Source organism: Homo sapiens, chromosome 1 (genome assembly GCF_000001405.40).
Source record: "Homo sapiens chromosome 1, GRCh38.p14 Primary Assembly".
Lineage (NCBI taxonomy): Eukaryota > Metazoa > Chordata > Mammalia > Primates > Hominidae > Homo > Homo sapiens.
The window spans coordinates 119,830,143-119,856,030 of NC_000001.11; the positions used below are offsets into that span (position 1 = coordinate 119,830,143).

General features: G+C 41.6%; 2 pseudogenes across 2 annotated transcripts, besides 1 other annotated feature; one reads left to right on the top strand and one right to left on the bottom strand.

Moving 5' to 3' along the window:
- Window positions 1,130–1,330: a silencer, noted in NCBI's record as "peak397 fragment used in MPRA reporter construct". NCBI's record gives its function as "represses an SCP1 promoter by STARR-seq MPRAs in K562 erythroleukemia cells {active_cell/tissue: K562}" and the evidence as "EXISTENCE:reporter gene assay evidence [ECO:0000049][PMID:32103011]".
- NBPF7P (NBPF member 7, pseudogene) lies at window positions 3,567–14,582 on the bottom strand (annotated as a pseudogene). Of its 2 annotated transcripts, NR_171566.1 has the most exons (10): window positions 14,471–14,582; window positions 14,159–14,368; window positions 12,291–12,393; window positions 11,244–11,458; window positions 10,115–10,187; window positions 9,042–9,253; window positions 7,142–7,217; window positions 5,855–6,066; window positions 5,362–5,576; window positions 3,567–4,762 (listed from the first exon to the last, which is right to left on the bottom strand). The product of NR_171566.1 is annotated as an NBPF member 7, pseudogene, transcript variant 1 (transcript). The 2 variants fall into 2 exon arrangements; NR_171567.1 differs by lacking the exon at window positions 5,362–5,576 and having other exon boundaries at window positions 14,159–14,582.
- On the top strand, window positions 23,063–23,849 carry PFN1P9 (profilin 1 pseudogene 9; annotated as a pseudogene).

The following is a 25,888-nucleotide window of genomic DNA, read 5'->3' on the forward strand; positions in this document are numbered from 1 at the left end:
TTATCCACTCCATTCCCTTCAGGGATTCCATTTAGTAGAGTGTTTAAAATTTTCCCACTGATGGGCTTTTTATTTCTTAAATTCATTTTTTCCTGTGTGTTTCATTTGTGTTCATTGCTATTGCTGTTTCCTTTAATTCATTAATCTTTTCCTCTGCAATGTTCAATCCAGTGCATTTTTTAAAATTTCAGACAGTAAAATGTAGTTTTCACTTATGGAATTTGATATTTTAAAAATATCTCCCACATCTTCATTTAATTAAAATTATAATAACTGCTCTAATGTTATTGCCTGCTATTTCTAACATGTGTGTCGTTTTCAACTGAATTATTTCATTCTTCATTATGTCTCCTGTTTTCCTGCCACTTTGCCTGTTTGATATACTGGGATTTGATGTCACACATTTGATGTCAATGCCCAAATGTGCCCAGTGGCACAACTCGGCCTCAGTGTCTATGCACACCCAAGCTTTTGCAGCAGGAGAGGCAGAGCAGAGGCAAATGTGCCACACATGGGGGTAGGGAGTCCCCCACTTGTGCTTGGGGCTTTCCTCTGCCTCATTGAAAAAATATGTGTTCCTTTTCTTTTCCATAAGACCTGCACTACTTCAGGCCCTGTTCCTCCAATGATCAGGACAGTCCTCTCTCTAGTCTCATCCCTCCAAAGGATGGACAATGGTTCAAAACAATTCAGGAGAGAAAGCATAGTCTTGTCAACAAATTGTGTTGCGAAAACTAGACATCCATAGGCAAAAATAGAAAAAAATTCACAGATGCTGGCGAGGTTGTGGAGAAAAAAGAATGCTTTTACACTGTTGGTGGGAGTGTAACTGTCAACCATTGTGGAAGACAGTGTAGTGATTCCTTTAAGACCTAGAGGCAGAAATACCATTTGACCCAGCAATCCCATTACTGGGTATATATCCAAAGGAATATAAATTATGCTGTTATAAAGATATATGCATGCATATGTTCACTGCGGCAAAGATATGGAATCAACCTAAATGCCCATTAATGATAGATTAGATAAAGAAAATGTGGAATATATACACATGGAATACTATGCAGCCATAAAAAGGAATAAGATCATGTCCTTTGCAGGGACATGGAGGGAGTTGGAAGCCATTATCCTCAGCAAACTAACACAGGAACAGAAAACAAAACCCTGCATATTCTCGCTTGTAAGTGGGAGCTGAATGATAAGAACACAAGGACAGATAGGGTTGGGGTGGAGACAACACACACTTGGCCCTGTCGGAGGGTGGGAAGTGGGAGGAGGGAGAGCATCAGGAAGAGTAACTAATGGATGCTGGGCTTGATACCTAGGTGATGAGATGATCTGTGCAGCAAACCACCATGGCACACATTTACCTATGTGGCAAACCTGCACATCCAGCACATGTACCCCTGAACTTAAAATAAAAGTGGAAGTAAAAAACAATAAACAAAGAAAAAAATCCACTTAAACATCCATACTTGCACTAAAACTAACTCAAAATTGATTATAGAACTAAATGTAAATTGAAACTCTAGTAAACTTACAGTAGAAAACAGAAATTTTTCATGATGTAGAGTTAGGCACGAAGTATTCTTAGTTATATCAACACAAACTATTAAAGAAAACATTGATATATTTAACTTCATAAAAATTAAAAATCCTTGGTCAGCACAAGACATTGTTAATAGAATAAAAACATATGCTACAAACTGGGAGAAAAATATGAAAATCCCACATATGATGAAGGACCTGTATAATGGTTAATTGTGTGTGTCACTGTGACCGAGTCCCAGTGTGCCAGGACATTTGTTCCAATATTATTCTGGGTGTGTGCTGGAGGGTGTTTCTGGATGATATTAACACTGGAATAGACAGACTAAGTGAAGCAGATTGTCCTCCCTAATGTGGTGGGCCTCATCCAATCAACCAAAGGCCAGAGGAGAAGGAAAGGGCCTAATAAGAAGGAAACACTTTCCTGGGTATCCAGCTTTCCATCTTGGGAATTGCGGCCTCCATAATCATATGTCCAAATGTGTGTGTGTATATATATATATATATATATATATATATATATATACACACACACACACACACACATACACACACACATGCATGTACATGCCTTATACATATATGTATGTATACACACATTTCATAAGTAAGTAGGAAGGATTGTTATTTTTAAAAGTTCAGTATTCAATGACAACTGCTGAGCTGGCCACTGCATACGAAGGAGTTCTATTATATGATTCTGTGTCCTTTTTTATACTATTGAAGTTCTGCATTTGAAGAAGTAGGATAGGATAATAGTTGATTTTCTCCACATACCCTTCAAAGCCCTAGGAATTAACAGGGAGTCAAAAATACCACATCCCTGCCCCTAAACACCAGGGGTAGAGAACCCTGTGGCCCTCAGGTGATTGTCTTTAGCAGGGTCTGGGAGCCACACAACTGCAGAGACAGCAGGAAACACTATGCAAATAGAGGCCACGACAGCAGGGAGGGCCTGTTCATGACAGAACACAGGTAAAACTCTCCTCAGAAAGCGAGTGTGGAGAAACAGAAATCATGCCTGAGACCTGGTGGATTAGAGCACTGGCTACTGGGGAATTGAAAGGAAGGGGCTTCACCGTGCAGAGGACCAGAGGTGCCAGTCTCGGAAATGCAGAATTGTTGGGAGATGGGGAGGTATGGACAAAGAAAGCATCCTCTGGAGACTCGTGGTGAAGACAATGAATGAAGTAACTGGCAGAAATTAGTGGTCCTGGTAGAACAAAATAGAATCCCAGAATGAGAACAAACACCATCCTTGTCCTCTAAAGCAAGACAATATTTTCTAAAAACTCAAGAAAAATCTTTTTTGGCAAGTACCTTTTATCTAGTGATGTGCGCCATGTACCAAGGCAGTGGGAAAAGGTTATTAAGCATGCTAAACTCAGCGAGCCCCTATTCCCCCATGAGGACTCTGTCAAGAATAAATTCCTTTCAACAAGTGATGCCCAGGACACTCACTTTTGAATAGTTCATGAGCCTCAGCATATTTAATTGTGGATCTGAACCAAAAGCCAAGGTGGAGACAAGGTGGGAAACACAGGCGGTCACTGGTATATGCTTGGGTTGAACTAACACCATAAGAAATGGCAGGTTAAGAGGTCAGAGAAGAGGAAAATAATATCTTTGGTTGTCATAGTGGTAAAAATTTAAATTCAAAAGAGAAGATTAAAAATGTATAAACCAAATATTAGAAGTGTGTCAAGTTAAAAGGGGACTTTTAAACATGATGCCAAAACATGTTTAGTGCACTTTCAAACATGAGCTACACAACCCTTCCTAAATAACAAACAAAAGACACACACACAAACAAAGACAACAAAATAACATTGACAAAGAAATGTAGTAAATACCATCTACTACTACATATGATAAATGTAGACTAAAATATGGAAGAGTTTGGAATGTAAACAGGGAAATAAGAATGTTTTTATTAATCTGTATCCTTACCCACCAAAAACAATCATAATAATAAAAGCTTAAAACATTGTGTGTAAAAAAAATTCACTAGTCCAGAGTAATAGGCAAGAATATTTTAATTAAACAGATTTAAAACATAAACATTTTAATTTTAATAGACTAAAATTAATCTTGGATGAAAGTTAAAATTTGGGCAGGGAATATTCTTTTTCACAACAGAATGCCAGCAGAAACAAGTTCATACTAAGGACTGAGATAAAAATTTCCAACGTACAAACATAAATATAATAACTGACACAGCCAGGGGTGATTAATTGATGATAAAATGCTCAGAGGAAGATTGTTAGAATACAGGTATTTGTACTTTTTCAAACCACTTTTCAAATTAATTATAAATCAGGTGTCTTTACAAGGGACAGATCTCCTAGACCCCTCCTTAACCAGGTAACCAGTCCTGATATCACAATAATGGTGATGGACAAACTGGACCTTCTCTGCCCGCAGATGGACTGAGGTTGGAAACTCACAGCATTGACTTTGCAGTGTTCCTGGCAAAACATTTAGGCTGAATTTAATCATAAGGAAATTTTCTGACAACTTCAGAATGAAGAAAATTGAGCCAGACAGCTGACGTCCTCTACAAACAAATCCATGTCACCACCATCAATGACAACAACAAAAAGATGAGGAGATACTTTGGGTTCAAAGTGACTAAAGAAGTGAGCTACATTATCTTTTCAATCCTTTTGAACCCAAAATGTCTCTTCTCTTTTTGTTGTGTGATTTGTGGTGACATGGATTGTGTGAAGGAGAGCGGTCAGTTGTCCTGCTCAGTGTTCTACATTCTGCAGTTGTCTGCTGATTACTTCCTATGAAACTCAGGCTAAGTGTTTTCCGCAAGAATATGGCATTGTTCATATTCTGCACTGGCAGAGTCCCGGGTGACATGCTGTCTCCTGCCAGCGGCTCCTGACTCCTGTTCTCTACAGGATGGAATTGAGAGGAGCAGGGCTAAGGCCTCTCAATGCTGTTTGTCCATCTGGGAATTGGTCTCCTTGGGTATTCATCTCAAGTGGAAATAGGATGAATTGTGGTTTCTCAAATCAAAGGAGCCTAGTGGTTTGCAATCATCAAGAGCATTCTGTGTCTAAAATTCAATCCTCAGTGAAGGAGCCCTGCAGTGTTGTGTTTGGAATTGAACTTGGTTTGCTGTTGTAGTTTTTTTCATCGAGCAGAAAAGCTACTTTTTGTGACATCCTTTCATCCTTTTCATCCTTCCAGCAGTATTTGGTATCTGTATGAGAGAGGAAAGGAAAAATGAAAAGAGCATCTATGTCAGGTCTTGCTGATGGCTGAGTTTGGAGGGATTGCTAAGTGGTGATAGCCCAGGGGCAAACTGAGCTTCTGCTGGGAGGATGAGCTGAAGCCTGAGCCTCCGGCTGGCTGAAGAGGCAAGTGCCGTCCACAAGTGAGAAGAAAACAACCCTGAACTTCCAGTCAGCCTGGAGTGCAGATAGAAGGACCTGCTTATGCCCAACCAGCATCCGATGACATCAGCCCCTTTCTTCCTGATCCCCTTTGTCCGGAGCAGAGTGATGGCTTTTCACACCTCCCAGGGAGGATGTGCTCAGCATCAACCATGCACACTCAGAAGCAGAGGGCTTAGAAGGAGAGGGCCCTTTGCAAAGAAAACCACCCCCTTACAACTCCATGTCCCAGTCTTTTGAGAAGATGCAGGAGAGCAGACTATTGGAAGAACCCAGGATATGAGAAGTAGCAGAGGCCTCAGACAATACTCACAAATAGGGAAGAGAAAAGCAGTGGGAGAATGAGCTATCATCATAGACAGAGAAATAAGGAGTGAGGGCCGCTAAGAGCCATAGATGTGATTACCTTCCTACTCTAAGCTTGCAGGCCAGAGAATCTGCATGCCAGTCTCCACTTGCTGAACGGCAGTTTTCTTTTGATCATTTTTGGTTTTAGGACACTTGAGGCGTGAATGTGGCCAATGACTTGATGCCCATGTGTGTTGTCAGCTGAACCTTCAAGAGCATCACCTTCCAGCTGGGGAGGGATCTTCATTGCAAGGGAAGGCTCTAAACCCAGCTCTGAAAATAAAACCACAGACAGTGGGATCCACTGGCATTGATGATCTTACTGTGACTTTCCTTCTACCCAAAGAACATCAAGTAAGGAAAAGTGACACCCAAAGGGTGAGGGGAAGCCAATGGAGTCACTTTGATATTTTCTTTTTTGTTGATCTTTCTCACATTACCCAGCAATGACAAGATTGCCAGGAAGCAAAGACACTCCCAATCCACAAAAATATTCAAAAAACATGTGTCATTCTAGACAGGTTGTGGGATGCAAAGAATAGGAAGCCTACCTGGGAAGCCAAGTGGAGTTTCTTCCCCTTTGGAATTGGAGTGTTCGCTGGCTACATCCTGAGCAGAGCAAACTTTCTGTTCAACTAGTGCCAAGAAAGTGCCTTCACAAGGTTGGTAAGATTGGGACACATCATGGTCACTACAAGAAGTCGTAACCCTTTCCTCCGGGGAGTCCTGCAGGACTTCCTTCTCTTCAGACTCCTGCAGCTTCCTGATGAGCCAGACAGGAGAGGAGTGACAAGAGGGATTAAATACCATGGTATCTCAGGTGATTTCATGGGACACATAAGGGAGTGGTCACAGAAACCAAAAGGGTAGTCTCCTCCAAGAGAGAAAAATCTATCCTTCTAAATGTGGAGTGGAGTGTGACTGCCCTTGGGACAGAGCAGACGTGAGCAGCAGATGCTGAGTGTGGTTGCCACAAATGAGCTGTTGCAGGAGGACCCAGACTCCCCCTGTAAACTGCGATCACGACTTGCAGCACAGAGAACTGACACAGGGCTTCGCTTCCTATGCCTAAACGTGTTGATGTTTACATGCAGCACCCAAGTAAACACAGCTCTTGAGGCATTCCAGATACACAGATCTTGTCTTTTCAAAGCCATTTTTAAAATATTTTGGCATGAATTACAATATCCCTGTTTTGTAATGAAATACTTGCCAACATGCTGACATCAAACACATAGAAAGCATACATGCGTCTCACTCTGGATTAACCACACGGGAGAGAACAGGTGATATCCCTGAGTTTGGTGAGTTCACCTGGCTCAACAGATAGCATGTTCCTATGCAAGAGGGGGATTAAGAAATTGAAACCTGGCTGAGCACTGTGGCTCACGCCTGTAATCCCAGCACTTTGGGAGGTCGAGGCAGGTGGATCACGTGGTCAGGAGATCGAGATCATCCTGGCTAACACGGTGAATCCCCACCTCTACTAAAAATACAAAAATAAATAAATAAATAAGCCCAGCCTGGTGGCGGGCGCCTGTATTCCCAGCTATTCAGGAGGCTGAGGCAGGAGAATGGTGTGAACCTGGGAGGCAGAGCTGGCAGTGAGCCAAGATCACTCCACTGCACTCCAGCCTGGGCGACAGAGCGAGACTCCATCTCAAAAAAGAAAAAAAAAGAAAAGAAAAGAAATTGAAACCTACTCAAGCACCACAATCAGGAAGACAGCATTGTTAAAATGGATAATTTGCAGTTGAATGAATGGATGAGGCAGTTCTGTTCATCACTTTCTATTTTTCCCTGGATCTGCAGTCTCCAGGTGTCACTATTGAACTAACAGCCCACAAATCCACAGAGTTACCTGGGGGGGCACTGGCGCTTTCCCTTCCTCTTCCTCATCATCATTTTGATTTTCTGTAAACAAATTCAGAAGAGCAGGTCATATTATGCAAATCACGCTTCACACAAGACCAAATCAGTGTCCAGTCATAGCACAAGGACATAAATATTCTCAGTGTAAGAATGTGATATTCTGACAGGAACGTTCTAATGTGCCCTAGATTAAGTCTTGTCAGAAGTAGATGAGCCTGCTTTTCAGATCCATGGGACAAAATCTCCCTCATCTGGTAGATCTTAATCTTATATCCTCTGCCCTAAGTCAGCACAAACAATTAAAACATTTTCCCTAAGATCTTCAAAAATTGCCCTAACAACTTTCCATAAGTGTTTCTGCAATACTGATTTATCTCTTCATATATCATGGTCAATGAATGGTTAGAGAAATTTATATAGAAAACTGAACTGATGGATGAATTCTAACAACTTTTGCTTAAAAAAGAATCTGTGGGGATGGCGGGGTGGCTCACGCCGCTAATCCCAGTACTTTGGGAGACCAAGGAGGGCAGATCACTTGATGTCAGGAGTTCAAGATCAGCCTGGCCAACATGGTGAAACCCCACCTCTACTAAAAATAAAAAAATTAGCCAGGCGTGGTGGCGCACACCAGAAATACCGGCTACTCGGGAGGCTGAGGCAAGAGAATCACTTGAACCCTAGAGGTGAAAGTTTTAGTGAGCCAAGATCACGCTACTGCATTCTAGCCTGGGTGACAGAGTAAGACTCCATCACCAAAAAAAAAAAAAAAAAAAAAAAAAAAAAAAAAAAAAAAAAGAAAAAGAAAGAAAGAAAGAAAAAGAAAAAAAAAGAAGAAAGAAAAGAAATCTGTGGTGCTACACAGAAACAGCAGCCATTCATGGGGTGAAGAACTCAGGTCCCAGCCTTGCTTTATGGAAACTTATAAGCAAGATAAGGGTACAAGTGTTGATGTCCTGGTTTCAGTTCACTGCACAGCTGAGACAAAGGAGATCCAGAATTGAGTTGACTTTGTCTTCCTCAAATGTGATTTTGGTGTTCTTGTGAGGCGGGTTGGAGTCAGCTGGCTTAAAGGAAATCCATACTGCAGATGAGGATTGTGAAATCAGGGAAATAACATCTTCAAATAAATGGACCAGGCTGTCAGTGGCCTCAGACAGGCAGAGAAACTCCATGGACATTGAGACACAAATTACACCATCGCAGCTGACAAGAGACATAGGAACCGAGCTCAGAGGCCTGACAGATACCTCCTGTACTCCTCCTGTACACAGGTAGCTATGGCTTTGTCACACCTGCCTCTGTTCCAATAACCTGATACTGGGGCCAGGATGACAAAGGCATGACATGGGCCAAGGAGGACAGGAAAGCTCTCTGACCCACAGGTATCTGTGTTTAATATTCCATCCTAGTTTCTCTTTCTCTCTCTCCTCTTTCACTTCTCTCTCTCTGTCTCTCTTTCTCTCTCTCTCTCTCTTTCTTTTTGACACAGGGTCTTGCTCTGTCGCCTAGGCTAGAGTATAGCAGTGCAATCATGGCTCACTGCAGCCTCTACCTCCTGGGCTCAGACGATTCTTCCACCTAAGCCTCTTGAATAGTTGGGACTATAGGCATGCAGCACCACAGCTGGCTAATTTTTTGTATTTATTGTAAAGATGGGATTCACCATATTGTCCAGACTGGTCTTGAACACCTGATCTCAAGTGATCCACCCACCTGGGCCTCCCAAAGTGCTGTGATTATATGGAGCACCTAGCTCCATCCTAGTTTCTGACTCAAACCAATATTTGTGTATACAGCTCATCCTCAGAATTGATCTTCCATAGCCTAAACAGAGGTATGAGACACAAGGAAAATAGAGGTTACCCAGAAGAATGTTTAGAGCATCCTGCCATTCATCTTGAGAAGATTCACTGTCTACAACCAGAATTGAGTTGACTTTGTCTTCCTCAGATGTGATTTTGATGTTCTTGTGAGGCGGGTTGGAGTCAGAAGGGCCATGGCTATTTGAATAAGTGATGGCACATTCCTCCAGTGAGTCCTCAGGGACTTCCTTTTCTTCAGCCTTCTGCTCCTCCCTGATGAGCCAGGTGGGATAGAAATGACAGAAGATTAAACAGAGAGGGATTGGATCCCAGGGAGACCTAGCTGATTTTGACAGGCGGCATTAAGAGAGTGGTCCCAGAAAGCAAACAGGAGGTTCCCTTTAAGAGGGAACATGCAATACTCTTCTCTCTGCAACAGAGCATGGCTACCATGGGAGCCAGAGAGGAAGAGAGCAGCTGGTGTTCATTGCACTGGACAGATAGGAGCTGAGGAGGATGAAGACTCAGCTATCCCTGTATGGTACACACAGCACACACAGAGAAACACAACAGCTGCCACACCTTGTTTCTTAGCTGGGTTGAATTTCACATACTGTGGCCAAGGGAATGCAGGCTTTGGGCCCATTATAGACTCCAGACATGGTGTGCCTTCTAGGCCTTTTTATTTTAACACTGTGACATAAAATGTAAATTTTTTTGTCTAGGTACTTTTCCTGGTGTTTAGCTTTGCTAGGTACTTCCTAATTCCTCTGCTTGTTGCCTCTTTGCTATTTATCTTTCCTAACAAGAACCTAAAGACAAATGTGGAGAAAGCAGCTTTGCACCTCCTCCTGGTTTTCACAACAGGGGAGAACAGGTCTTCTCTGTGTGTGCAGGAAATCCACGGGGCTGGTGAGTTTATCGAGGGTCATGCTTACAGGTACAATGAAGACAATGGACAAGCATGTTAACAGGACTATTTCCTTGTTGGGTGAGCACATGAAATCAGTGCACTCTGCAGCTTTCTTTATCCTGCATCTGGAATCTGTGACTACCTTCACCTCCCTTGTGTTCTTGCTGAGACCTTTTCCATATTTTACCACTCATTACCTGCTCCTGATTATTCAGTCTTACCTGGGAGCAGGTGATTCCTGTACTTTATCAAGCTCCTTGGTTTTATCATTTTCATCCTCATCTGTGTCATTTTCTGCAAATACAGAAGTGTTCGTTCAGATATTTCCCACTTCACACTCTGCAAGCACAGTCAGCCCAATGTGCACAGATACATGAACATCTATGTATGGGTCAGTGTTGTACTGAAAGCTCTCTTGTTTTATCTTTAACAAAATGACCTGGCATGGTTTCCTGGTCCATCAGGCAATGCATTTCTGATCTGGAGGGTCACCAGCAAGATGTAACCAAACACTGAAAAGACCTTTTGCTCTCCATATCACTGGAGGCTTGTGCAGCCTCTCTCTGGACTTGGGCAGCTGTCTCCCCCATCCTGCCACAGATCTGATTCCCAGGCACAGGCTTGGTGTCCTGTCACAGTTTGCATTTAGAACCTATTTATTTCTCTTAGAAGAGAACAAATAAACTTCTCCCACAGTCCTCCACATGTCAGGGGATTTTGCTGGCCCTCCATGTGGCTTCTGCTGTGTTATTCAGAGACATTCTCTGCATGGGGAGTGCTCCAGTCTGAAGCACTTTCAACCATCAAATGCCTCCATATCAAGTGCCTTCTCCAACACCATATGGTGAGGGGCTTTATCTCATTTTGAAAAGCAGGTGTAAGTGTTCTTCCATTTGACTACTAGAGACACTTGCAAGAGATAATGTGTCTGCCTTTGCAGATTGAGAGACAGAAACCCAGGAAAGATAAATCAATCACTCATCTACAGTTACTAAGAACGTTGCTGAAGACATAGCCTGGGAACCTTCATTCTTAGTCTAGAGCTCTTTTCACTCTAACAAGCACCCTCCTTTCACAGCCTCCTTCCTGTCCTTTAAAACTAAATAGATGCTGCCTCTTGTTCCAAAGACCAATTTCCATTAAGGAAGGAGGAAGATTTGCAATACTGTGACCTCCAACCCCACAGATTTCCCATCTCTGTTCTTACCCAGGAAGTCCTGGTCATGTCATGGCCACATATGTTTAGTGGAAAAAAACACCACTGATACAACTGTCATTGTGGAGGTGTGGAGGTCTGGAGTCTCTCATAAGCCTGGGGTTTTGGGTCATCAGGGCCTGTGGCCACCTTACCTGGGCTGAGCTTGTGGACAAGGTGCCGTGCCAGCCTACACCCCTCAGCCAGCTGTTCTCGGAAGTCCTGCCCCTGGGAGTTGTCATGCTTATCCGGAGTGAGAAGAGCCTGGAGATGCTGATTCAGTGAGTGGGAGGCATCTCTCCCTTCCCGTAACTTCTCCCTTAACTGGATCAGCTCTCGTTCCTGAGAGTGAACCAGGACTTTATATTGCCTAAGGTGAGATAGTAGAGAAAATTTAACACGGAAAGGGATGAGTGATCAGTTCTAATATTGCAATAGAGATTTCTGAGACAATATCCTCAAGGAGACCTCCAAGCAGGAGGTCAGCACATGTTTAAAGAAATGTCTGTGGCCAAGGGAAAGAATAGAAAATGGTTTACAGGCTTCCTCTATATCAGAGAGGGCTCCAGTAAGATCCTCGGTGATGTTCCATTCATCTTTCTCTTCTGTAAACAAAAGTGGGTGTCTTCCTAATTCAGTTACAAAAAGACAACCTTTCAGTTCCTCACTCTGGCCATGGACATTTCCATGTGAAAATACACATAGTGCATCTTGCGGCCACTAGATACAAAGCCATGTACAGAAATGAGGCCAGGTGCAGATGGGGCAAATTGAAAAGACAAAAGAAGAAAAGAATGACAGGGTTGAGAAGGCAACATTGATTGAGTGGAAGAATGAGAAGCCTCAGTCAGTCTGGAGGTGATTCTGACTAAGGGTAAGTGGGGTGGTTATGGGCACCATTTTGAGTATACTGAATGCTGCTGGGTGGTTCCCACTCCTTTGCTTAATTTTGTGTTATGCAAATTTCACCTCAACAATTACTTGTTTGAAAAAGAGAAAACAAGGCTCTGAGAAACAACTGCAACCCATAACTTATTATTATCCTTGTACTCCGTTTGACAAATATTTGTGTGTCGTGAGCCTGCCATGGCAATTCCTGCCCTTCCCCTGGCCCAGCTTAGCTCTTACTTCTCCCCGCCAAGATGCTGTACTTCAGAGATTTACAAACCTGCCCACCTGCCTGTCCCACGGGGCCCCCTCACCTGAGCTCCTCAGCTTGCTTGAGCTGCTCTGCAAGCTTCTCCTCCTTGAACTGCAGCTCTTCCCTCAGCATAGATTTTATGAGGTCTTTGCACTCCTCATACTCTGAGAAAAGACAGATGCACCTGCCTCAGTGGAAGGCTGGACATGCTGCTGTGGTCACTGCCTACAGGGCAGGAGCCAGGCCCATCCCAAGGACAAAACTGTCCCCAGTACCAGGGTCTAGATGGGGACTTCCACATCTTTACTCTTCAGTCTTCTGACTTTCTGGCATCTGATCCTCCAAAATTTAGAGACGAAGAAAGAGAAACTCAAGGGCACATCAAGGAAGTTGACAAGATGATTCAACCACAACGAAGTGGAGTCAGAAGTCACAGTCCCTGAGATCTGACTCTGAATGTGGGGCCACTTTCCCAAGCCTTGCAGCCTCTCCTCTAAAACACTGCACTGGGGCATGAGGTAGTGATTTCCCGCACAGGTGGGAAGGCCCCTAGGACTGTGGGACTGATGGTTTCCCTTTTACTGGGAATTTCAAGGACAAACATGTCAAAGGTTTTAACAATCTTTGATTTTTAAATCTTATCTTTGGATATGATTTTAAGAATCATATCTGAAGCATAAAGCATGAGACATAAGACCATAAGGCCATGAAGGAAATATGCCCAAATTCCAATAAAGTTTGTGTTAATTTAGAAACAGTAGAATGAAGAACTAAAAGATAGTGTTTACTCTGTGCCAATAACTGTTCTAGGAGATTGACAAGACATAGCTCATGTAATTCACTGCAGCAATTTACAGAGGTAGGTATCATTGTAGTACCCTCTGAACAGATGAGGAAACCGAGGAAAAAACACGACAAACAACTTGGATGGAGCCCAGGAGACAGGCCCAGGGTCCCTGCTCTGCACACTGCACTGCTACCTCCACACATTCTTGGGTGCGATCTTTCTTCCTCTTTAGGAACAAGAGCCTGTGCCCCAGGAGGCAGGACTTCCCTCTCACCAGGGTACTGTCTGCTTTCTTTTTCTTTCTTTCTTTTTTTTTTTTGTCAAGTCTTGCCCTGTCCCCAAGGCTGTAGTGCAATGGTGTGATCTTCGCTCATTGCAACTTCTGCCTGCCGGGTTGAAAGGATTCTCCTGCCTCAGCCTCCCAAGTAGCTAGGATTACAGGCACCCGCCACTACGCCCAGCTAGTTTTTATATTTTTAGTAGAGACGGGGTTTCACTATTTTGGCCAGGCTGGTCTCAAACTCCTGACCTCGTGAACAGCCCACCTTGGCCTCTCAAAGTTCTACGATTACAGGAGTGAGCCACCGCACATGGCCCCTACTCCCAGCTCTCGATGCTGTCACTTATAGATACCACAGGATCTATTAGGAGCAGAGTCTCTTGAAGCTCCTCAGAGCAGGTACTGGGTACTAACACCATGTTTCCCCCAGGGGCCCTAGAACAGAGCTTTGCCTATTGGGCCTCAACAGAAGCTTGAAATGAATAAAAGTTCACTAGTCTCAGACATTTAGAACAACAGAATATATGTTATTTGTCTGCAGGATCTTATCTGGTACAGAGAGGATTCTTGAAAACATGATTGAGCCTCTTGGAGAAAACAGGTCGTTCTGTGCCTGTGTCAGAAATCAATAACTGGGATTTTAACTCTAGTCCTACACCCACCTGACTGCAAACATGGAAATTTGCTAAATACCTTGCTACCTCTGTCTTCCAAATTAAACAAAATGTTGAAATACCCATTTCTATTTTCCTAGAAGTACGGGAAGGATGAAATTACTTTTGATGGAGAGAGCATTTAGTGTCTCAGAGAGAAGACAGGACATCATTCATCACTTTCATGATGGTGAGCCTATAGATCTTACTGTATTTGTTCTGCTGGTTGGCCAGGAAGCCGGCCATTTGAGTTACAAGAAATTTCTGCTTCATGTTTCTGAACTGTTGTTTGTTCTCTGCCAGCTGGGGGCGCAATTTCTCATTGATTTCTAGAATGTTCATCTCTGCTTTCTCACTGGACCAGGGGCCGGCAGATACCACCATGGTGACGTTTGTGGCAGAAGAGGTGGAGCCAGGGACTGGGGAGAAGAAACGCAAACACATGATGGGTTAAAAACTGGTGAAATCGAATAGGTTTAATCAGGACTGAGGAAGGTCAGTAACTGAAATTCTTAACTTACTGTTGAGAAAAACGTGATCACTCCCCACAGCACTTTAAGATCCTTCACCACAAAAACAAGGTTCGAGGTGCCTGAGCTCAGAGCTGAAGGCACTGCCTGTAGCTCAGACTCTGACAAGAGTGAGGTAGATTGTGGCCAGCATGCCAGGTAACGGTCTGCAGTTGCAATAACAGAATTAGAAGGTGGGGGTGTCATGGAATCTTAGGAGCCCTGCATTCCAATTGCCCAGGCTTTGCTGAAACACAGGCACCCTGGTCTCACTTGAGGGTCACCACCAATGGGGATCATTCCTTCAGCATTCACTCTCAGTATTCGTGTACCCTTGTGACAATGCCACAGACCCATCTCTTTCCCAATACATCTAAGCATATTCCTCACTGTTTATCTCTTGTCTGTACAACATCATCAACCAGAAACAGTTTCCCAACAGGTTATATTTTCTTAATGGTAGTCATGAAGTCACCCCACCTGCTCTAAGTTAAAACAGAGCTTAAGCCTTTTCCACAGGTATAAGATATCAAACTTTTAGCCTGCCCTGATATCCTCTGGGTCTTCTGCAGTTTTTTCTGTATCCACTAGAAAGTGAATGAATAATTCATTTTTTAAAAATGTTTTCTTTCCTGTCTCAGTATTCTTCTTGCTGCATCCCATGGTTATGTTGATTTCTTTTTTCTTACTGGGGCACCATCTTGGGCTTTCATTATGCTCTAGACCAGTTTGACATCCCTACGTCCAAAGCTCTTCCTCTACATGGGTTGATTTGTTTTTTAATGTCTCTGAGCACTACATTTTATACTTGTCACTTATGAATGTCATTCTAGTGCCACAAGAGCTCTTTTCAAGATATCAAGTGATCAAAATCATTTATATAGAGAGATCTCCTGAAAACATGTGTGACCATCTATTTTGGGAAGTTTCATAAACTTGATGCTATTTTATTGTTTCCATTTCATTTTCCCATATATTGAAAAGAACAGGGCCATGAACAGTTCTTATGGAATATGGTTTGATATATATTTTGCTGAGTTGGACTAACACCATTTGTTTTTGGTTACATTCCACTAACAGAACATGGCAAGATAAGTTTATGGTCAGGGTTGGTTGGTGATCCTCAGTGTTGCTGCGCAGTAGAAGGTGAGTTTGAGGTGAGAGGAACAAGTAGGAAAGAGTGATCCCCTGAACCACCTCCTCACTTTCTTAGCTTTCAACCCCACCTAGGTTTTGTGAGCCTGGAACTTGGGAGACTGTTCGGTAGCCCAGGTCTCCTAAGAGTGGGTGCAGTGGCTGTGACCCTGGGCTGCTCAGCATTCATGTGGAAATGAAGGAAGGAGGACTGGATCAATCCCATTTGAAAGCATCCTTCTCTGCAGCCCACACAATCCTCCAATGACACTGTAAGGATCCTGCTTTGAAATGTATCAAAGACTTTAAATCAATGTATTTTCTGGGGTCTGGGAGGCCTGACATTCTGTGTCAGAATGAAAATCTATCAAGTTTCTTCATTTTAAAAATGATAAAACTGCAGGTTCACAAAGTTACATGGCTTACTTGAGGTCACACAGGGATGAGTTTTCAGCACTGCCAGTAGAAGCAATCACAATAATTATTCAGTAATTATTCATAGGATCCATGCAATTCAGTAAATATTCACATAATTATTTAGTAATTATTCATTGAACAATTCATACCAGGCATTTTGTTCAAAACTGTGCTAATATTTCCACAGTGTATTTTTATCATAATCCTATTATGGTAATGCTATTATCCATAAGTAACAGGTGATAAACCTGAAGATGAGGGATAGCTAATCATGTATTTGGCCATATTTCCATTTTTTGGTTTTTGGGATGCTGGATGAATGACCAGAATGAGTCACAGGAAGAGTATTCATTCCTGTATTATTTTCCAGGACAGAGGTGTACCCTCCTAGTGTACTGGGACCAAAATTCGGAAGTGTCTGCAAACTTGCTTTAACCGTATGGGAAATAACCTCTATCACCTGGAATTTCCTTGGGACTTTGGAAAATACAAGAGAAGTATGAGACTTGGGTCTTCCCTTGGCTGTGTTTAATTCACTCTTCTATGGAATACCAATGATTCTCACTAAGACTTTTGCCTTTTTATAACCACAATGTATGCTTTATGGAGAAGATTTTACTCTTTGCTCTACTTAGAAAGAATAAATATGAGCAATGCTTTAGGTTTTATGCCCTGGACTTAATATTTTTCTGATTTCTGTTTTGAGATTAAATTCTCATGTAAATAGAAAAAATGCTTATTATTTCTCATAAGGCCAAGTTTGTTATTAGTTTGATTGAGTTTTTGAAGATGAGTTACAAACTTTTGATTTTGTCTTTGTCTGTCCCCATCAGCGCCACTCATTGTCTCTTAGTATGACCTGGTCTTGTCCCTGCACTTACCCTTGTCCTGCTGAGCCATCTCCATGCACTGTCCAATTCCATCAGTGATTCGGGGTCCTCCCAAGGCTCACTGAAATGGGCACAGGGATCAGGATGTCAGACACATTCCAGACACAAAGGCAACCCATACTGTAGAGTGGGCAGCTGTGTTCCCACTTCCCTAATGTTCCAGTGATGTCCTCAAACTGAAGGGAACACTTTTCCTTTTTAGGGGTCTGTTCTTCATGTCTCAATGCCTCTGATCTAGTGAACACAACTGTCCTGAAAGTGAAAGAACCTGCTAAATTTCGGGTTTCTGGTTAGGTGGCTAGAATAGATTTATAAGACTTCCTTACTTACCCATGACTGCTGAAGTTTGAATTCTTAGCAGTATGATTCCTTTTCTTGTAAGCTGAGCAGCTTAGGAAAGATTGGCTATGTTGCTGTGCAAAAAGAGGTAAACTTAATTTCTACTCAAAGCATGCTCGAATTTGAAACTAGGGCTTCCACTCTTCCAAAGCTGGACTATCACTGCCTCAGGCATGTGTCCCGAAGGGCTCTTGTCTCTGTTGTACTCAAAGTTTAAATGGAGACCAGCAAGCCAGGTTTCCTTTACTTCTAGGTTCCCTCAACAGTTTCTTCTCTGCTTTAGAGACTTCCTTGAAAATATTCTTGTCCTGCTGTTGTGTTTTGGCTTTGGAATGATGTGATGCAGCTCAGTGGGTCCTACCCCTAAGTTGATCAGAGTAATAAACAGCTGGGAAAGTCAGTGCAAATACAAGTTCATCGTCCTCCTTGCAGGGATTCTGATTCAGAGGGCTCAGGTGGGGCCTGGAATGTGTTTGTTAACATGACTCAGATGTGCAGTCAATTTAGGGACCCGCTGATACCATCAGCCTTACAGTTTATGGGATGATTCTTTCTGTTTTGCTGATGAAGAAACTGAGGCACAGAGAATCTGTAACTTGCCCAAGTTCCCCTTGCTGTAAGTCCTGGAGCCAGATCTCAGGTGGAGCAGCCTCTTCCCCCATCCCCTTCCCACATTTTCCAATTCAGCTGGGTCAATTCTTTCCAAGTACGTGTTTCTCTCCCCTATACCTCATTTCTGAAAAAAGGAAAACTGGAATTTAACTTCTTTCATCTAATACATTTCCTCACAACATGCTGCCAGCATCATATTCTGGCCACTCACTATTAAAGTGAGATGCCTTTTTTTTTTTTTTTTTTGAGACAGGGTCTTGTTCTGTCACCCAGGCTGGAGTGCAGTGGTGATTATAGATCACTGCAACCTCAAACTCCTGGGGTCAAGTGATCTTCCTGCCTCAGCTTTCCCACTAGTTGGAACTCTAGGCACACATCACCATTTCTGGCTAGTTTTTTTGTTTTTCATAGAGACAAGGTCTTGCTATGTTGCTCGGGCTGGTTTTGAACTTCTGGCCCCAAGCAATCCTCCCACCTAGGCCTCCAAAAGTGCTGGGATTACAGGAGTGAGCCACTTAGGCTAGCCCTGAAATGCTTTTGTTTTTGTTTGTGTTTTTTGTTTTTTAATGAAAATACAGGACATGGAGATGTGGAAAGACACCTTGCTTTATTACTGTTGTTATTATTATTATTACTACAGTATAATTCATGTATCACAAAATTCACGATTTTTAAGCATACCTTTCAGTATTTTTTACTATATTCCAAAAGTTTGCAGCCAGCAGCACTACCTAATTCCAAAATATTTTCATAATGCCAAAAAGCATGCCTGCACCTATGGGCTGTCACTCTGCAATTCCCCCCTTCTTGCAGTCTCTGACAACCACTAATCTACTTTCTCTATATATAGATGTACTTGTTCTGGGCACTTCCTCTATATGGAATAACAAATTGTGGCATTTTGCATCTGCTTCTCAGCATAGTGTCCTCAAGTTTCATCCTTTTTAGCCTGCAGCAGTACTTCAACATTTTATGGCCAAATAATATTCCACTATATGGTTATACCTAATTTTGTTTATTCATTTAACAATGTTTTCACTTTTTAACTATTATGAATAATGCTGCTATGAACAGCTTTGTACATGTTTTTGAGTGAACATCTGTTTTTCATTTTTTTGGTTATAAACCTAGGAGTGCAATTGCTGCATCATATATCACTTTATGTTTAACTTTTTTATGTTTAATTTTTTTATGTTTAACTTCTTGAGGAACTCACACACTGTTTTCCAACCTCAGTGGCTATGCTACTTTACATTCCCACTAGTAATATATGAGAATTCCATATTCTCCATAACTTTCCAAACATGTATTGTCTTTATTTTTTTCTTAAGTCATACTAATGGGTGTAAAGTGGTATCTCATTTTGGTTTGAATTTACATTTTCCTAATGATGAAAAACATCGAACATCTTTGCATGTGCTTCTTGGCCATTTGTGTGTTTCCTTTAGAGAAACCTCTACTCACAACTTTTCTCCCATTGTTAAATGTGGTTGTCTTTTATTGCTCAGTTATATGAATCCCTTATATACTCTAGGTATTAGACCCTTGTCAAATACATAATTTGGAAATAGTTCTCCCATTATGTGGATCATCTTTTCACTTCCTTGACAATGTCCTTTGAAGCATACAAGTTTTTTATTTTATGAAGTCCATTTATCTATCTATTTTGGGGTTGTTTGTGCCTTCTTAAAAAATGTCTAATCCAAAGTCACAAAGATTTGTACCTATGTTTTCTTTAATACATCGTTTTTTGAATGAGAACTTTCCTGGGTTTTAGTGGAGGGTGGACATTGTTTATTTATGCCTTCTGTCCATTACTGATATTTCTCCTGATTGTTATTCATATGCTCACCACCCCTCCATGGAGCATCCGTGGCCTGTAACAGAGCTCTGGGGACCGATATCCTTCCACTGACTTTGGCACTGGTGAGAGCCCTGGTCATGTGGTTCAGCTTGGCCTTAACCCGACCCAGTTGCACATATTCTTCAGGGCCTTTAGAATTGAAGTTGAGAGGCTCTCTGAGAACGCTTGCCAGCCCATGCTGTTCTAAGGCTGGAGCAAACTTCTACCGTCTATTCCAGACAGAGGGGACCACAGGAGTTGGACTCAGTCAAGACATCTCTGGTGTTAGAAAGTAGACCTGCTTCAGGATTTGGGGAAGATTGTTCAATATGAACTACGTCCTCCCTAATTATTTTTACTATATGTGTGACTTCTTTCTAGAAACAAAGGAAGAATATTTATGTTAGAATATTTTGTCTATTCTTTGTCAATCGTTGTTTGTCTACAATTTTAACGTGGATTAAGGAGAGCTCAGTGTAAATATATTCTTAACAATTAATTATGGTCCATGTCCACTGCCATGCAATCATATTTAAATCTATGAACTATCCTGTTACTTAGGTATTATCCTGCTCCTGATGAGAAAACAAACTCAGAAAGATTGCAAAATTTCCCTAGGTCACAAAACTAGTGAAGAGAGGAATAAGAATTAGAAACCATTTCCTTTTGGCCTTCAAAGCTAACCGTGTACCATTAGATCAAACTGATTTACATACTTTTGCTGGAATTAGTCTCAGAGTTTGTGGTTCTCGCTTGATTTTCCCAAGGAAACTGTGCCACTTTAATATCATTTCAAACTTTGAAATTTAAAACTTTTTTATTATACTTTTTTGTCTTTGTTCTATTCCATTGCTTTTGGTTTCTTCTCAACTGATCCCTCTTATTTATATGCTAAATATTTGTTACCTATATTCTGTCAATTTTCACATTTTTGAGTGTTTTCTCTCTCTTTGTTGTATGCTAACAGTTCTTCACTGAGGTATAATTTGCATAGAGTATATTGCAAAAAACCTAAAGGTACAGCTTAATAAATTTTGACATAATTATACATTATATAATAACACCCAGTTCAAGACAGACAACATTTTCCTCCATGCCACAAAGTTCTGATGTGGTCCTTGCAAGTCAATACTCATCCCCCAAAGGAAGAATGTATTCTGAATGTTGTCACTGCCTTAGTCCCTTTTTGTTGCTAGAAAGGAATACCAGAGGCTGGGTAATTTATAAAGAAAAGAGGTGCATTTTGCTCATAGTTCTACAGGCTGCACAAGAAGCATGGCACTCGCATCTGCTCCTAATGAGGGCCTGAGGCTGCTTCCACTTGCAGCAGAAGGTGAAAAGGAACCAGTGTGTGCAGAGATCATATGGTGAGAGAGGAAGCAAAAGAGAGCAAGTAAAGGTGACAGACACTTTTTAATAACCAGCTCCTACAGGAACTAAGAGAGTGAGAATTCACTCACTACCTTCTCCCAAGGTGGGGATCAACCTATTCATGAGGGATCCACTCCCATGACCCAAACACCTCCCATTAATCCCCACCTCCAATACTGGGGACCACATTTAAACATGTGATTTGGAGGGGACCAATATCTAAACTATAGCAACCACTATAGATTAATTTTGCTTATTCGTGTGCTTCACAAAAATGGAATCATTTTGGCCGGGCCTGGTAGCTCATGCCTGTAATCCCAAGACTTTGTGAGGCTGAGGCAGGCAGATCACCTGAAGTCAGGGGTTCGCAACCAGCCTGGCCGACATGGCAAAACCCTGTCTCTACTGAATATACAAAAATTAGCCGGGTGTGGTGGCAGGTGCCTGTAATCCCAGCTACTTGGGAGGCTGAGGCAGGGAAAATTTCTTGAACCCAGGCGGCAGAGCCGAGATCGTGCCACTGCACTCCAGCCTGGGAGACAGAGTGAGACTCTGTCTCAAAACAATAACAAAATGGAATCATTTAGTATGTTCTCTTGTTTTGACTTCTCTTTACTCAGGTGGGTATATATGCCACTAATTTGTTTGATTGTGTTTTTTCCTTGTTTCATTTTGTTTTGGCCAAGTAATATCCTATTGATGGTATGACTATCATACAATTTAATATCCATTTTTCTGATGGGAGACAGGTTTACTTGTTGGCTACTGTGCATAAGTAACTATGAATATTCTCATACAATTACTTCTGTGAAGATACATACTTATTTTCCTGGGTATCTATAGCTAGGGATAGAGTTGCTTGGTGAACGGGTAGAGAAACAGGTTTACTTGTTGGCTACTGTGCATAAGTAACTATGAATATTCTCATACAATTATTTCTGTGAAGACACATACTTATTTTCCTGAGTATCTGTAACTAGGGATGGAGTTGTTTGGTGAATGGGTAGAAAACAGGCACAGAGTTTTGCAAAGTAATTGTATTATTTTACATTTCTGTGAAAGATGTAGGCCATTTCCAGTCGCTCTACATTTCCACACACTTAATATGTTCAGTTTTTTAAATAATAGCCATTCTACCAGGTGTGTAGTGATATCCTATTTTGGTTTTCTCATGCCTAATGTTCATTTAGATGTCTTCTTATGGAAAATATCTTTTCAATTTTTTATGTTCATTGATACACTGGGGTGTTTGTCATTTTCTTTGTAAACTATAGGAGTTCTTTATATATTTTGAATGAGTCCATTTATATATACATATTTTTTGCTGTATTATATAGCAAATAATTATTCCTGGTCTACAGATAGCTTTTTAGTTGTTAAACAACAACATAATAAGCAGAAGGTTTTCAAAAATGAAGTGCAATTCACTTGATTTCTTACTGTGGAAAGTGCTACAGTATCTAGTCTAAGAAATATTTTCCTATATCAAGTTCATGAAACTATTTCCTCTTTTTCCTTTACAAGGTTTCTAATTTTAACTTTCACATCTTAAGTTAATTTCAATGTATGATGGAGAGTGGTTGTTAATATTAACTTTTTAAAACAATAAATATTATTTCACTCAAAATCGTTTTACTTAAAAGTCTTTCATTTCCCCAATGAAGGGCATTGGTGTCTTTGTTTTTAAAACATTTAGAAGTGGCGGTGCGAGCATGTTCTCACTCATGGGTGGGAATTGAACAATGAGAACACTTGGACACAGGGCGCAGAACATCACACACTGGGGCCTGTCTTGGGGTGAGGGCTGGGGGAGGGATAGCATTAGGAGAAATATCTAATGTAAATGACGAGTTAATGGGTGCGGCAAACCAACATGGCACAGGTACACCTATGCAACAAACCTGCACGTTGTGCGCATGTACCCTAGAACTTAAAGTATAATAATAAAAAATATATATACATATATATAAAAAGAAGTGGCGGAGCGAGGGCTACTGCACAGCTAGCAGAGCCGTGGTGAGGAGGAGCGCGCCTGCCCCGAGCTCTCCACCTCCCCCGCCCGCCAGCCCAGGCGGCCCCAGCAGCAGCGACCAGAGGAGCCCCTGCAGCAGCGCGACGGCCAGGTGGACGCCTCCATCTACAGCCTCATGGCGGACGGGACCTGTTAGGACACAGCCATTGTGGGCAACAAGGACTCGCCCTCCATCTGGGCCGCCGTCCCAGGGAAAATCTTCGTCAACATCACGCCAGCTGAGGTTGGTGTCCTGGTTGGCAAAGACTGGTCAAACTTTTTCGTGAATGGGCTGACACTGGGGGGCCAGAAATATACTGTGGTCCCGGACTCACTGCTGCAGGATGGGGAATTGACCGCGGATCTTCATGTGAAGAGCATCGGTGGAGCCCCCACCTTCAATGTCACTATCACCATGACTGCCAAGACGCTAGGCCTGCTGATGGGCAAAGGTGTCCACGGCAGTTTCACCATTTCATAACAAAGAAATGTTATGAAATGGCCTCCCACCTTCAGCGTTCCCAGTACTGACCTCCTTTGTTCCTTCCCCTCCACCGCTCCCCACAACTTTGCCCCCCTTTCCTTCTCATACACACACCATTTTAATTTCGGGGGCCATTACCCCACACCCCTTATTGCTGCCAAAACCGCATGGGCTGGGGGCCAGGGATAGATGGACAGACAGCTTCCCCTACCCATACCCCTCCTGTGTGTGGTTGGAAAACTTTTTTGTTTTGATGGAATTTTTATGAATAAAAAAGCTTCTACTAAAAAATTAAATAACTGTGCATATGTGGGCATATTGTTTGAATCTGTATTCTTTTACTTTGATATATTTATGAATACTTACACCAGTACTACCATTTTTAAACTACTGTAGCTTTAAAATCAGGTTTGAAATCTAGCAGAGTAAGTCCTCCAACTTATTGCTTCTTCAAGATCGACTTGCTTATTCTAGGTTCTTTGATTTTCAAATACATTTTGAAATTAGCTTTTATATTTCTCTAAAATCTCCTACTAGAAATATTAATCAGAATTGTGTTGATGTAATATGTTAACAAAATTGAGACTTTCAATCAATGAACATGATATATATTTCTGTAGTCTTCTTTAATTTTTCTCATCAATTGCTTTTAGGGGCCTTGTACCTGCTTCATTGCATGTATTGTTAAGCATGTAATGATTCTAGCTATTAATCTCTATTATGTTTTATTGAATTTCATTTTCTAGCTGCTAATTGCTAGTATGGAGAAATTAAGATGATGAAATCAACTTTATAAAGGCATAATTTCGGTACAACAGACTGCACCACTTTAAAATGTGTAATTCAATGCATGTTTACAAATGGATACACTAACGGAACTACTGCCACAACCAAGATAGAGGAAATTCCCTATGCCCCAAAGTTTCTTGTACCCCTTTGCAGTTCATCAGTCTTTCAACCCTCAGCCCCAAGGAGCCGCTGTCACTTCAGGTCCGTTTGCATTTTTAACCATTTTCTATAAATGAAATGATACCTGTGTTCTTTTGTGTCTGCCTTCTTTCATGCATCAACGTAATTTTAAAATCCATCCATATGAGTATTTGCATCAACAGTTAATGCCTTGTAATTGCTGAGTAGTATTCCTTCGTGTGGCTATACCATGTTTGTTTGTCCTTTTACTTGTTATTGGACATTTCTATCATTCCACGTTTGGGCTATTATGAAGAAACTATCATGAGCATCCATATGTGGCAGGCCAGGTCTCACTAATGCAGGCCTCCCTAACAACTGTTTCAGTACTGACTGAGTGGTTCAGTTAAATATTAAAAGGAAAGAAAAAAAAAAGCCAGTGCCTTTATACAAAGGCTGGAATGTAACAAAAGCCCACCAAGAGTTTTGCCTAGGCTTTTTCTGGGCCTTAGAGCATGACAAAATAACGAAGGAATTCTTAACAGGAGTCATTTAGTATTAAACAAGTTTTATTGGGGGTCTGAAGAAACTCCCCAGGCCTCCAGAAACAAGTTTATTGGAGGTCCAGAGGAAGGTCTTCAGGACTCAGACCTTAGTTATAGAGTAAATGAAGTTAATCACTTATGTATTTAGATGAATGCACACTTCCACATACACATATAGCTTAGAAGGTACATAAGCTCTGGAAAACTTTGTAATTTTGAGTTGGTCTGGTGATAATTTCCAGGCCTTTTCCCTGTAACCAGTTGCAGAAGTAAAAACTCTCTTCCTCCCCAGTTCATCTACATCTCGTTACTGGGCCACGAGAAATAGCAGCCCGCCCCTCAGTTTGGTCTGGAAACACACATACAGATCACTGTGCAGACATGCTGTGTAAATTCCTAGGAATGGAATGACTGTCCATCTGATTTGTATATGTTTAACCTTTAAGAAACTGTTAGATTTTCAAAGGAGTCATACCATTTTTCATTCCTACAAGTATAAGACTTCCAAGTGCTTTATATCCTCACCAACATATGCTATTTTCAACCTTTTTAATTTTAGCCATTCTCAAGGATATCTACTGGTATCTCATTGCTGTATTTATTGATCTCCCTGATGACTAAACAGCAAAGCATGTTTTCCTATGATAATTGACCATTCATGTATCTTCTTTTCTGGGAGTATCTTTTCAAGTCTTTTGAGAAATTGTTTCATTGTGTCGTTTATCTTATCAGACTGCAATAGATAGATAGATAGATAGACTTAAAAAACCCTTTGTTGGAGATAAATATGATATCTCCTCTATTGTGGCTTCTTTTTATGTTATCTTACTGTTCCCTATTTGGAGATAATGATAGATAATCTTCAAAAAAAAAAA